At 37.4% G+C, this 15301-nt stretch overlaps 1 long non-coding RNA gene across 2 annotated transcripts in view; it reads right to left on the reverse strand.

Annotated features, from left to right (window-relative positions):
• Positions 1 to 843: 843 nt before the first annotated feature.
• Positions 844 to 15301, reverse strand: part of LINC02839 (long intergenic non-protein coding RNA 2839) — a 51947-nt gene continuing 37489 nt past the window's right edge. For both annotated transcript variants that reach the window (NR_183481.1, NR_183479.1), the window contains exon 3: positions 844 to 990. This is a non-coding gene — a long non-coding RNA (long intergenic non-protein coding RNA 2839). The remainder of the gene's footprint in view (positions 991 to 15301) is intronic.

The raw sequence follows: 15301 nt of genomic DNA on the forward strand, positions 1-15301 counted from the left end.
GTATTCCATGGTATATATGTGCCACATTTGGGTTCAAGAAATGTTAACACAGACCTCTTGTAATCTTGAGTTTAGGCAAATTCCCAAGAAGACAGATTCTATTTACTCCTACACATGAGAAAGTGAGACAGAATACTGAGACATGACTTACAAATGAAATAGCCCCAAACTAGTGTTGTCCACTTGTTTCCTCACACATCCTCACCCATCCAAAAGCAATAAAGGGATTAAAGTTGGAGAGGCTAGGCAGTGGGAGATAGATTTCTTCATACATGGTAGGCTTTATGTTCTTCCTCTTCCCCAAGGTGCTAGTGGGCTGTGTGTGTGTGTGTGTGTGTGTGTGTGTATTGGGGTGGGTGTTTTTCTCATCTCATATCTATTAAGAGGCACTTCATGAAACCTCCTGGAAATCCAGATATGTGTATCTGTGGTTTGGAGAACACATAAGCTGGGGCAGTATCTGCTTACCAAGCAACTAAATGAAAAGAAAGATGTATTCAGGAAGTAACTACACTCATGCTAATTTTTGTCAAAGGTGTATATAACCCAGTTTTGCTCTTTTGACAAAACTGTTATAGTCATCTATATTATATATATTTAATATAAGTGGATTAGCTTCCCAAGTAGCAACTATCTAACTGGTTTGAGTTCAAGGTAGGGAAACATCCCCATTTATCCACCTCCTCACTACAATTCTTTCTCAACTCTTGGTTTCCTGTTGTAATGTTTCTCCATTTATAGTGGTTAAAAGCATAGGTATTGGGATCAGACGCACCTGAAACACACACACACACACAGAGCACACACACACCACACACACACACACACACACACACACACAGCAGGGGGCAGACAGATTTATTATGAGGAATTGACTCCTGTGATTATGGAGGCTGAGAAGTCCCATGATCTGTTGTCTGCAAACTGGAGACTGAGGAGAGCTGGTGGTATAATTCAGCTTCAGTCTGGAGGCCTGAGAAACAGGGGAGCCTGTGGTAAAAATAGGACAGGGTGAGGGCAGAAGAGAATGGGATGAGATGTTCAGCTCATGCAATAAAGCAGAAAATAAGAAGCAAATATCTCCTTCAGCTGTCCTTTGTTTTATTCAGGTCCTTAATAGATGATACCTACCAACAATGGGGAGGGCTATTGGTTTTACTCAGGCCACCAATTCAACAAATACCTTCTAGAGACACCCTCATAGACACACCCTGAAATAATGTTTATCTGGGTATTACATGGCCCAGTCAAATTGACAGATAATTAAAATTAACCATCACAATGATTAATCTCAAAAGACTCTTCCTGTGTCCAAGTGTTCTCATAGTTCAATTCCCACCTATGACGAGTTAATGGGTGCAGCACACCAACATGGCACACGTATACATATGTAACAAATCTGCACGTTGTGCACATGTACCCTAGAACTTAAAGTATAATATATATATATATATATAAATCTCAAAAGGCTCTGTCACTACATTTCATTGGCAGCTGTCACCTACTATGTGCTGGCCTCAGTGTTAAGTACTTTTTTCCCTAATCTTTCCTGTAATTCTAAAAGCATGGTATTATGATCCCTGGAACATACTAGGAAATTATGGTTCAGAGAATTCACACACCTTGCTTAAGTCTGCATAGCTAGTAAGACTTAAAAAAACATCGAAGTTGAAGCCCATGCTCTTTGCATTCTACCATGATTGCTCAGTTCAGCATATTTTTATTCCCTGAATAGAGACGACAAAACATGGGCATTTCTTTTGAAGAATTTATTGATTTCACACTGGTACTTAAAGGTATTCCTGGAATGAATTTGCCAAAGGAAAAGGGAGGGTATATAGAAAACCTAGAAATAAATGCAAATTAGGTCCACTTCATATTATGGCCTAGAAATTACACTGGTATATGTGCTTAATATTTAAACATATGGAACACAGATCTATCTGCCAGATATATAGAAACCTTAATATTTCTTCTTAGGGAAAGAAAAGGAAATAATTTATCTAGCTTCTATCCTATTATTGATGTGCTATGTTATATTGTATTAGGCAATTTATCTAGTATCAAATAAATAGTTGACCCAATGAAGAGCCTTTTAAATTTTTAACTCCCGATCAGTTTTGTTTTTATTTTTTTCCTTTAAGATAATCCTATGCCCAAAGTTTCCATGTACTAAAATATGTCAGAATTTTATTCTGGGGACACTATTTTTTGAATCATAAAATATAAGTTATATCTTACTACTTCATCATTTAACATTGTTGTATTAGTTTTGAACATAAATTTCAGATGCACAGAAACATTTAAATGGTATTTAAATATCAAACAGGCAACATATTTTTGTACTGGTTATATGCTCAGGGCAGAAAAATTAACATTTCTTGTCTTGTCTGTGGTTATCAGATATTTTTTTCCCTAGAGGGTACATGAATTAATAAATTCTTCTCCCACTTTTCAAAACCGCAACTAAATAAGCAGTTGTTGGGCTTGAGGATTGGCTAATCTGTGTAATACTCCTCTGCCCCTCAGGAAGCTATTAGTTGCCTATTCTTGTGTAGACAGAACTAAGATTTTTTCTTAGTTTATATAAATATCAGAAATATACCTTATAAAAATATAAAACCTGTATATATAAATTATATCATCAAATATTATTTCTAATTTTTATTTTTCTGTTACCTAAATTACACATGCATTCAAAACTAGTCTATAGAGAAAGTTCGTGGAATAAATTCAGAGTAAGATCTAGAACATGCATCCCTGATGTGCATATTCCAATATATTATGTTAGACTAATATCTATGATATCCATTCTTAACCTTTAAATTTTGAACTTCATTGATATATTGCTTTTGGAATCTTGAAAATAATTTTTATTTCTCACTTTTTGTTAAAATTTGCTGAGATTATTATGTTATTGCTTGGTATCAACCAAAAAAGAATGTAATTGAAAAAAAGCCTAGTGTTCTTAATAATATCTGTATGGGTTCATACTATGTCTAGTGGAATTCATTTCATTGATTTGTATCTTTTTTATATCTTATTTTACCTGCCTTTTTTTACTATTACTAAACAATCCAAACAAATTTATATACTTTGCACTTAATTTTATAATTATTTTTCCCATTTTTGCTGACCATAGCAGTATAGGGGCAGATAAGAATGGGGGCATTCTGGGAGTACTAACATTCTGGATTAAGACCGTCAGTATTATATCAAAAATATTTGAGGAATTACACTTCCATGTGAGTGTTTTCAAGGATTTGGGGGAGACACAGAAGTACTGCTATGAAAAGAAGGTAATTTCCACAAAGGTCCTTAAAACTGGTGTTTTATTTAAATAGGAATCTTTACATATTTAGGATAATGTGTTTACATTTGGAAGTTCTTTGCTTTTGATATTAATGTTTCAGTTTTAATACCTTTTCCCTAGAAAAAAATAGAAAAGGATTGCTGCATTTTATGTTTGGTTTCCTTTGGGATTTAGAAATATTCTACACCACAAACTGAAATCCCCAAATATTACTGATCAAGTTCAGCACTGTCTGAGTAAGGAAGGCTGTGAGGCAGTTGGGTGAAGTACATGGGTGAATTATTATTTCTTTTTTTTTTCCTAGACCACAAGGTGTAGAAGCAGGACATTCTGCTTTTTCTCTTGTTGCCTGGGACAACTTGGGGGCCCAGGCCTCTCAAAGTGAGCACTCCAGCAGACAGGTAGGAGAAAACCTGTGAGGGGAATGTCATACAGTGAGCTGTGTCTCTTCAGCTTCTGCTTATTGTCCCACTTGATCTAGTACACACAGTAGTATTTTTACAAAACTAAGAACCAACAAAATTGGCTGGAAAGGGCATTGGAAGCTTAGCTCACCCCTCATGATTCCTGTCTCCCAAATTGAAGTCAAGGTTAAAATAACCCAGTGGTGAACAACATATCATCCAAAGCTGTCTGTACAAGGTGGAAATGTTCTCATAAGCAGTTTTGCAGACAAGAAAAATACTGGCTTGTGTAAATTGCTAGCTCAGCCCTTTTGTGACAGGATTACAAAATAAGGACTCTGATTTTATTTCTTATGTCTTTTATACCAAGTGAATGAGGGAGTGAAAAACATCTTACAGAATCTGTCTCAGGGATCAGGAGCCTTGCCCTGAGTTCTCTATTTCTAGGATAAGAATAAGGAAAAAACCCTACACATGCTCAATTTTAACTTTAGTGTCAAGGCTAACTCTTAGTTCCTGCCATCTTTTATCTTTTTTTGTCGTTGTTGTTATCTTACCATTTTTTGCTGAACCTCTTTTGCTTTGAACTCTTTTGTCTTCTCTCTCCTTTTAAATTGTATACATTAAGGTGTACAACATGAAATTTTGCTGTACATACACTAGTGAAATGAACACTGTAGTCAAGCATATTATTCTACTCATCACCTTCCATAGTTACCTTTGTGTATATATGTGTGGTAACAGCTCCTAAAATAAACTCTTAGCAATTTTTCTATATACGATAAATTGTTATCAACGATTGTCCTCATGCTGTACATTAGCTCTTTAGATTTATGTATCCTACATAGCTGCAAATGTATACTCTTTGACCTCCTTCCCTCCCTGTCCCTAGCCAGATTTACATATGTTGTTTTAAAGGACAGGCTTTACTTTTATAAGACTGAACAATATTCCATTATACCCATTTATTTGTCTATTCATCCACTGAGGAACTCTTAGTTTGATTCCATACCTTGGCTATTGTGACTAGTGCTGCGATAAACATGGAAATGCAGATATTTCTAGAAGGTGCTGTTTTAATTTCTTTTGGGAATATACCCAGTAGTGAGATTGGTGGGCACAAATAAATAAAAAGGTATGTTTATAGATTGATAGAATGAATGTTGTTAAAATGTCCATACAACCAAAGCAACACACACATTCAACACAATTCCTATCAAAATTCCAATCATATTTTTCACAGAAATAGAAAAAAAAATCCTAAAATTTGCACTAAACCAAAAAAGCCCTTGAATAGCCAAAACAATCTTGAGAGAGAAAAATGAAGTTGGAGGCATCATACATCTTGATTTCAAATTATATTGTTACTGAAACACCAGAGGTTTGGCCTAGCTCCTGCTGCTCACCCCACAAAAAGCCAATCCCTGAGACAATGATTATTGCCAAGGAAGAAAACTGTAATTGGGTGCTGCAGCTAAGGAGATAGGAGATCAGCCTCAAATCCATCTCCCTGACTGACTAAAATTAGGGATTTCTTTCTTTGTTGTTGTTGTTGTTGTTGTTGTTGTTTCTGAGATGGAGTCTTGCTCTGTTGCCCAGGCTGGAGTGCAGTGGTGCGATCTTGGCTCACTGCAACCTCCCCCTCCTGGATTCAAGCAATTCTCCTGCCTCAGCCTCCCAAGTAGCTGGGATTACAGGCACGCGCCACCACGCCTGACTAATTTTTGTATTCTTAGTAGAGATGGGGTTTCTATGGCAGGGAAGAAATTTAACTATGTATAGGGAAACAGGAACTGGGAAAGGGCAAGGAATCAATCATGATGAATGAGGGGCAGGGCTTCTCATTGTCTGGATGTGATGATCTGGTGAGTTTCAGTTATTTGGTATTTTGAGAGGCCTGGGGGTCCTTTCCTGAGAAAGGAAGTCAGATAAAATGAATGTAAGTTTCAAGCTTTAAGACTAGAAGAGTCAATTTCTATGTTTATGCAAAAAAAAACTATCTATGAGACTATTGGGTTGGTTTCAATAGGGCAAAGCTATAGTAATCAGAATACAGTACTGACATGAAAACAGACACACAGACCAATAGAACAGAATAAAGAGCCAAGAAATAAATAAATCTAAGCAAGGGTAACTAATTTTCAACAAGGCCACCAAGAAGACACATGGGAAAAGGAATAGTTTCCTCACTAAATGGTGTTGGGAAAACTAGATATCCACATGCAAAAGAATACAATGGGGCCCTTATCTTACACCATACACAAAAATTAACTGAAAATGGATTAAAGACCTAAAAATAAGACCTGAAACTGTAAAACTTCTAGAAGAAAACACAGGAGAAAAGCTCCTTAATATCAGTCTCAGTGTCTTTGTCAGTTTGGGCTGCCATAACAAAATATCCAGATTTCTCAAAGCTCTGGAGGCTGGGAAGTCCAGGATGATGTGCCAGCTGATTTGGTGTCTACTGAGGGCTTGTCCCATTGATGTAATCTACTTGGGGAATCCTTGCATGGTGGAAAAGGGCAAAGGGCAAAAGGCAATGAACACTGTGTCTTCACATGGTGGAGGAGATGGAAAGGCTGGGTAGATTTCTGAAACCTCTTATATAAAGGCACTAATCTCATTCCTGAGAGAGTACTGATGCCCTAATCACTTCCTAAAGGCCCTCCCTCTTAACACCATCACCTTGGGGTCTAAGTTTCAACATATGAGTTTTGGAAGGACACATAGATTCAAACCACAGCATTCCACCCTTGGCCTCCCAAAAGTTATGTCCTTCTTACATACAAAATACATTCATTCTATCCCCATAGCTCCAAAAGTTTTAACTTTTTTTAGTACCAATTCAAAAGTCTAGTATCCAGAATCTCTTCTAAATATCATCTAAATCAGATATACATAAGTCCCAAAGATGTGTTTCATCTTGAGGAAATTGCTCTTCTACTGTAAATCTGTGAAATCAAATAAGTTATGTACATCCAAAATGCAATGGTTGGACAGGCACAGGACAGACATTTCTATTTCAAAGAGAACAGCACAAAAGAAAAAAGAGGTAATAGGTCCTAAGTAAGTCTAAAACCCAACAGGGCAAACAATATTAATCTTGAGGCTTGAGAAATAATTTTTGAGTCCATGTCCTGCTTTCCAGACACACTCTAGTGGGGCTTGGGCCACCAAGGCTTCAGGCAGCCCCACTTCCTTGGCTTTGCTGGGCGCAGCCCATATGGCAGTTCTGAGGGATTGGAGTCTTGTGCCTGCAGCTCTCCAAGGGTGGCATGCTGGTAGCTCTATAGTTCTGAGGTTGCAGGGGTAGTCCTGCTCCATGGCTATAATAGATATTGTTTTAGTGAGGGCTCTCTGTGGTGGCTTCACCTTTGTGGCAGTTCTCTCTGTGGATCTTGAGGCTCTCTGGCGTATCCTTAGAAATTTAGGTACAAGTAGCCATGCCTTCACAGCTTGTCCACATTGTGTGTCTGCAGAGTTAGCATCACATGGACACTGCGAAGGTTTACTGCTTGCGACCTCTGGAAGAGTGGCTGGAGCTGTATCTGGGCCTGCTGGAGCCACAGGTAGGACAGCTGAGGAGTCTGTGCCAGAATTCAGAGAGCAGATACTTGAGGCAGTGTAGGACAGCAAGTGCTGAGGTCTTGCTGGTGTCCAAGGCCCCTCTTTTGATATAGTTCTGCCTCTTAGGTCTTGACACTCTCAGTCAGTGATGGTTATAGAAGCCTCAATAATCTCCAAAATGCTTTTGGGGTCATTCTTCTATTGTCTTGCTGAAGAGCATCTGCCTTCCTTCTGTCCATACTAATCTCCTTATGAAACGTTCACTCGGCATACCCTTGGTTTTCTCTCCTGAACATGCCTTTTCATTCATCACGGACTGACTAGGCTAAAAAATTTCCAGTCTCTAAGTTCTGTTTGCCTTTTGACTATAAATTTTGTTGTGAATTCATTTCTCTCTTTTTGCATTTTATTATAAGAAGCCAAGAGAAGCAATGGCACACCCTCAAAATTTTGCTTAGAGATTTCTTCTGCCAAATATCCTAGGTAGCTGCTCACAAGCTCTGCCTTCCACAAAGCCCTAGGACATGGGCAATATTCAGCTAAGTCCTCTGCCACTTTATCATAAAGTTGGCTTTTCCTCCAGTTTCCAATACGATATTCCTCATTTTCACTTAAGACCTCATCAGAATGCCCTTTACTGTTTATATTTCTACTAACATTATAATCATGGCTATTTAAGTAATCTCTAAGAAGATTGGGGCCCTTTCTACAGCCTGAATCTCTTCTTCTGAGCCCTCACCAGAATAACCCTTTACTATCCACCCCATTACTCAGTTCTAAAGCCACTTAGACATTTTTAGGTATTTGTTACAGAAGTATCCCACTTCTTGGTACTAATTTAGGTATTTAGTCCATTCCTGCTCCTATAATGAAATACCACAGAGTAATTAATTTACAAATAATATAAATGTAAGTCTCACAGTTCTAAAGGCTGGGAAGTCTAAGATCAGGGTCTGGCAGATTTGGTCTCTAGTAAAAGCCCACATGCTGCGTCCTCACATGGCAAAGGATAGAATGGCAAATGGGATGAACTTACTCCCTCAAGCTTTTTTATAAAGGACTGTAAGACTATTGAGATTATAGTATTATAAGGGACTATAATTCTATTTATGAGGGTGATATGGTTTGGATCTGTGTCTGATTACAAATCTCATGTCGAATTGTAATCCCCAATGTTGGAGGTGGGGCCTGGTGGGAGGTGACTGGATCATAGGAGCGAATCCTTCATGAATGGTTTAGAACCATCCCTTTGGTGCTGTTCTTGTGACAGAGTTCTCAGAAAATCTGGTTGGTTAAAAGTGTGTAGCATTTTCCCTTTCTCTCTCTTCCTCCTTCACCAGGCTTGTGAAGATGCCTACTCAAGCTTTTTCCTTCTGCTATGAGTAGGAGTTTCCTGAGGCCTCCCAAGCCATGCTTCCTGTACAGCCTGTGGAACCGTGAGCCAATTAAACCTCTTGTCTTTCTAAGTTATCCAGTCTCAGGCATTTCTTTATAGTAATGTGAGAATGAACTAATATAGAAAATTAGTACCAAGAGTGGGGCATTGCTATAAAAACAGCTGAAAATGTGGAAGCAGCTTTGGAACTGGATAACCAGCAGAGGTTGGAACAGTCTGGAGAGCCCAGAAGACAAGAATGTAAGGGAAAATCTGGAACTTCCTGGAGACTTGTTAAATTGTTATGATCGAAATGCTGGTAGTTTAAGTTACAGTGTATCTATTTTGGAGGGAAACATTAAAACCAAAGCAGTTGGCAATAATCATTTGATATCACACCAAAAGCTCAGGCTACAAAAGCAAAAATAAACAAGCAGGACTGCATCAAACTAAAACGCTTCGGCATACTAAAGGAAATAATCAACAAAATAAAAAGATAGCCTACACATTGGGAGAAAATACTCGCAAACCATGTATCTGATAATGTGTTTAATATTCCAAATATATAAGAAACATGACCAAAAACCCCCAACAAATAATCTTATTGAAAAATGGGTGAAGGACCTGAATAGACTCTATTTTTTTAAAAAGAAAACATAAAAACGGCCAACAGGTTATGAAAAGGTTCTCAGCTTCACTAATTATCAGGGAAATACAAATCAAAATTACAATGAGATATTACCCTATGTCTGTTAGGATGGCTATTATCAAAAACACAAGAGATAACAAATGTTGGTGAGGGCATAGAGAAAAAGAAACTATTGCACACTGTTGGTGGAAATATAAATTAGTATAGCTATTATGAACAACAGTATGAAGATTCTTAAAAACATTAAAAATAGAACTACAATATGAGCTGTTTTAAATATCGGAACTTATAAGTTTGTCTTTTTGAGTGATTGGGAAAATCCTTTGCCTAAATTTTTAACTGATCCACAGGAAAACTTTCTTAATTAAAAAAGTCTGTTTCTTTTCTTCTATGTACTAGTAATTCTTTGCATAGATCCTGTGCTGAATCTTTTTTGATTATTACTCATCTTGAAAAGACATGAGATCTTCCCATGTGAAAAATTTACAGGAGGCATGTTGTGTGTGTGTGTGGTGTGTGTGGTGTGTGTGTGTGGTGTGTGTGGTGTGTGTGTGGTGTGTGTGTGGTGTGTGTGGTGCGTGTGTGTGTGTGGTGTATGTGGTGTGTGTGTGTGTGGTGTGTGTGTGTGGTGTGTGTGGTGTGTGCTGTGTGTGTGTGTGGTGTATGTGTATGTGGTGTGTGTGATGTGTGTGTGGTGTGTGTGTGTGTGGTGTGTGTGTGTGGTGTGTATTTGTGTATGCATGTGTGTGTTTGATTCAGGTGAAATGGGAATCTCCCTATTCCTGGGTCATGCATTTGATTTATGCCATCTTTTTCTGTGCTTTAGCTGACCAAGAAGGACACTATGGGGTCCTCACTTGCTCTCCTCCTCATAGCCTGTGCAATATCTTGTTTAGACATTTCTTTCTTTCTTTTCTTTTCTTTCCTTCTTCTTCTTCTTTTTTTTTTTTTTTTTTTTTTTTTGAGACAGTCTCACTTTGTTGCCCAGGCTGGAGTGCAATGGTGTGATCTCGGCTCACTGCAACCTCTGCCTCCCAGGTTCAAGTGATTCTCCTGCCCCATCCTCTGAAGTAGCTGGGATAACAGGTGCATACCACCATGCCCGGTTAATTTTTGTATTTTTAGTAGAGAGGGGGTTTCACTATGTTGGTCAGGCTTGTCTCGAACTCCTGATCTCAGGTGATCTGCCCACCTTGGCCTCCCAAAGTGCTGGGATTATAGGCATGAGCCACTGCACCCGGCCAGTTCAGAACATTTTCTGATCCAGGTCCTATCCACATGTTATCCAGTGGCTAATGTTGTTGTAATTATTGTTATTACATAGTTACATTTTTGCATTATAACAGATAATGATTTTAAAAATGTACTGATTATAAATGTCACTTGGAACAGCATGAGATTAAAATCCTGAGGCTGTCATTTTGTATCAGCCCTCTATTGTCATTTTATGTTGGTCTGTCATTTTAGGTCCTCAGATAATTAGTAATAGCATTTTCCTGAGTAAAAGTATCCAACTATAATAGAAGTTTCTACTTTTAGGTATCATAAAGACAGATGACTTTTTAAAAAGATAACTCTTAGTTTCCTGTGTGGCAATCTGAAACTTCTGTAGCTAACAGCAGAAAGTGAACGCTGTTATAAATTAAAATTATTTTCTCAGATCATATGTACACATATTAATCAGTCAATGAGATCAGAAGAACTTGTGGTGAAACGTAAAATTACTAGGCTCTTCTCTCCTAACCCTTGACCCATTGTTCAGGGAAAATCTTTTTGAATTATTGCTCTCCTTCTGATATTCTTAAGTAACTAATATGGTTACATCTCTATTTTTTGCTTTACCAATTTAAAAAATTATCTTTTGATTGCTTATCATAAAATGTCACTTTTATTGTAGCTGTTATTTTCAGGCATTATTCTGAGAGTCTAAATGTAGAGGTTGGGGGAAAAGCTAGATTGGAGTATGGTCAAGAGAGAGTACAGGGAAAGGAGTCCAAGACAATGAATCCAGTCAGTTTTGAGGAGTTTTGCTCTAAGGGGATTGGAAAAATGGGGTGTAGTTGACTGAAGTAGGATATATAGTCAAGAAAAGTTTTTGTTTTCATTTGTTTTGTTAGGGTGTAAGAACTTATGTGTGTACATCAATGGGAAGGATCCAGGAAAGGAAGAAAAATGATTATGCAGAAGGGAGAAGGGGGAATTGAGAGTAATGTCCTTCTTGAAAAGAGGCTGAGTGGGCTCTAGTGAAGTAATGGAGAGGCTGGCTCAGGCAGTGCAGCAGCTACCCAAAGCATCAGGAGAAAAATAGGAGTGTTTGGGAGTAGTTCACTTACATCTCTTGTTCTCCTCCTACTCTTCTTATTTTATTTTTTATTTATTATTTTATTTATTATTATTATTATTTTTGAGACAGAGTTTGGCTTTTTTTGCCCAGGATAGAGTGCAATGGCGTGATCTCAGCTTACTGCCACCTCCACCTCCTGGGCTTAAGTGATTCTTCTGCCTCAGCCTCCCAAGTAGCTGGGATTACAGGCCCACGCCACCAGGCCTGGCCAATTTTTTTTTTTTTTGTATTTTTAGTACAGACAGGGTTTCACCATGTTGGCCAGGCTGATATTGAACTCCCGACCTCGGGTGATCCACCTGCCTCGGCCTCCCAAAGTGCTGGGATTACAGGCGTGAGGCACTGCGCTGGGCCCTTATTTTATTTTTATTGTAATTATTTTCTTCTGTTGGTTGCATTTTAAACTTTAAATAATACATTTATTATTCCAGCTGCAGTCTCCACTTTTTTCCCTCTACTTTCCACTTTACCTTCATGTTATCAAGCTGGTAATTTTGATATTTTATCCTGAAACCATTACTAAGTTTACCATGGGTTGGATATAGATAGAAATGAAAAGTTCTAAACAATATACATAGTATACATTATTTTAACTAATATTGCCTCCTTGCTACAATATAGACAGGTAATTATTTTTAGAGAAGAACAATCATTCAGATATTTTCCTTTATTACCACCCAAGTTTGGTTCATTGCCTGGATCTCAAGTCATCTTTCCTTTCCTCATATTCTTGTAGTATTATAGATTCAAAAAAATTTCCTATAGCAGGTATATTATATAAACATGTCTAAAAATATCTTGGTTTTAAATCTGCTTAATAGTTTTACAGTACTTGAAATTCTAATTTTGAAATATGTTTTCCCTTGAGAAACTTGAAGACATTATTTCATTACCTTTGAGTATCTAGTGTTGTTGATGAAATATCTGAAAATAAGAGCTTAAACATATCAAGTGGTTAATTTGTGCCAGAAATTATTAGCACCAAAGCTATATTTGTATTTATATTTGTACCTACATCATATCTATATGTATGTAATCATTGAATTCTTACAACAGCACTATGCAGTAATATTGTTATACCTATTCTACAAAAAAGAAACTTGGGCACTGACAGGTTAAGTAACATACCCAAGATCACAAAGCTACTAAGTGGCCATGTCAGGATTCAAATTAGAATGTCTGTATTAAAAAACTGGACACTTAGTCACTGGTGGTCTACAGCCTCTGATATCCATTCAGTCTTAATTTTTCTGTAAGTAGCTTCTATTCCCCGCTTGGGTCATTTTGATTTGAAAACTCATGGCCTGCTCAGATCTGTGGAATTCTCTATTACTATAATCATTATCATCATCCATCATCATTTCCCTTCTGTTAGCTTTCTATTGCTATGTAACAAATTACCAAATATCTGATGACTTGAAGCAATGCCCATTTATTACTTTACAGTTCCTTAGGTCAGAAGTTCAGGTGGGTTCCAGTGGGTTCTACAATTAGGGCCTCACAAAGCTGAAATCACAATTTAGTTAGTAGGGCTATGCCTTTCTGGGGGCTGTAGGGGAGAATCTGTTTCCTTGCTCTTTCAGGTTGTTGGCAGAATTCAGTTCCTTGTGACTGCAGAACTGAGGTCCTCATTTCTTCGATGGCTATCATCCAGGTACCACTCTCAGCTTCTAAAAGCTACCTGTGTTCCTTGGCACACTGCCGCATTCCATCTTAAAAGCCAGAGATGACAGGTTGAATCCCCTTAATGCTTAAAATCTCTCACTTCCTTTTCAGTTATTAGCCAGAGGAGATCCTTTGCTTTTAAAAGCCTTGTACCGTTAGATTGAGCTCATCTAGACAATATCCTTTTTGATTAACTTGAAGTTAACTGATCACATCTGCAAAATCCCTTTTGCCGAGGAATGTAATATAGTCACGGGAGTGAAATCTCATCATATCTCATCATATTCACAGTCTTGGGGTAAAATCAGGAATTCTGCCTGATGCATCCACTCCCCTTTCATTTTTCTTTGTTCCCTTCTACTCTCACATGTTGGATTTCTTAGAAGATTCTTCTGTTTTGTTTATTCTTTCTTTCATATTTTCTCTTTCTGCATTTTTAAAATATTTTAGGAACTTTCTTCTACTCTATTTTGTAGTTTAATTTTATTCCTTTTTGGAGAATTTTTTTCTAAGAGCTTTTTCTTGTTTATGTTTAAATAAATATCATTCTGTTATTATTTTACTATTTTATGATATATTCTTAAAATCATTGATTATATAACTAAAGCTTCTTTTTTCTTTTTTTTATTGTACTTTAAATTCTAGGGTACACGTGCACAATGTGCAGATTTGTTACATAGGTTTACATGTGCTGTGTTGGTTTGCTGTACCCATTAACTCATCATTTACACTATGTATTTCTCCTAATGCTATCCCTCTCCCTGTCTAAAGATTTTTAAAGGCTGTTTTCTGTTCTTGGAGTCGTATTTTTTTCCAATGATCACTTTTACTATGTTTATTTTAAATTTTAACTTTGATGCTTCTAATATTATATATAGTGATTCTTAATTATCTGTACATATTTAAGACAGCTATTATGAAAGTGTGATTTCCTTTGACTCTTTTTATGTAGATCTGTTTCCTTGGGCAATTGAGAAATTTAACTTGAAGCAAGGTATGGGATGGAATGGGGCATATTGACTGATAGATCTGGAGGAATAGATAGATAGTTGTCTGGTAAACTGTGGGCCACACAAATAAAATAATAAGACTATGTGGAGAGTGCTTACTTTAGTGTCATACTTTGGCTCTCTCCAAACATATTATTTCATAATCTTAGTGCATGCTATCAAGTGTCATAGCTGGGGAAATGTCTGCCTGTTTTTGCTTTGGTTCTGGAGAAGAAATTAAGTTACTAACTGGTAAATTTATTGTATGTAAATATTTTTAATGAATCTTCTTGTTTTCAGTCTTATTTTTCACTTTGGCCCTTTGTTCTACCAGTTGACTTTGAGCCCAAATCCTCCTTGGGCAATTTTCAAGAGAATATGTTCAGCCTACTCAGCAATATTTTTATGACATATTCTGGCCTTTGGTTTTGTTGTATTCCTGCTCTTTCATCTGAAAATCTACCTGCATATACCTTCATCTTTGAAACATTTTCTGAAATTTATTCCATTCTCTGATACACCTCTCATTCTTTTCTCTGGTATGAATTAATTAATTACTTTATTTATTGAGACAAAGTCTCACTCTGTCCCCCAGGCTGGAGTGCAGTGGTGCGATCTCGGCTCACTGCAAACTCTGCCTCCCGGTTTCAAGAGATTCTCCTGCCTCAGGCTCCTGAGTATCTGGGATTACAGGTTCCTACCATCACTCCAGGGTAATTTTTTGTATTTTTAGTGGAGACGGAGTTTCATCATGTTGGCCAGGCTGGTCTAGAACTCCTGACCTCAGGTGATCCACACACCTCAGCCTCCCAAAATGTTGGGATTACAGGCATAAGCCACTGCGCTTGGACTGAAATTGTTTATTTTGTATTTCAAAATCCATCAAGAGTGGTTGAGGCAGGTAGGGACAATAAAGGGCAAATACGTTTCCCTCTTGCCATCAAATATTCAAAGTGAGAGTATGCATTTTTTGTTAACACATAGATGTGTTGGTT

Source organism: Homo sapiens, chromosome 8, assembly GCF_000001405.40.
Source record: "Homo sapiens chromosome 8, GRCh38.p14 Primary Assembly".
NCBI classification, from domain to species: domain Eukaryota; kingdom Metazoa; phylum Chordata; class Mammalia; order Primates; family Hominidae; genus Homo; species Homo sapiens.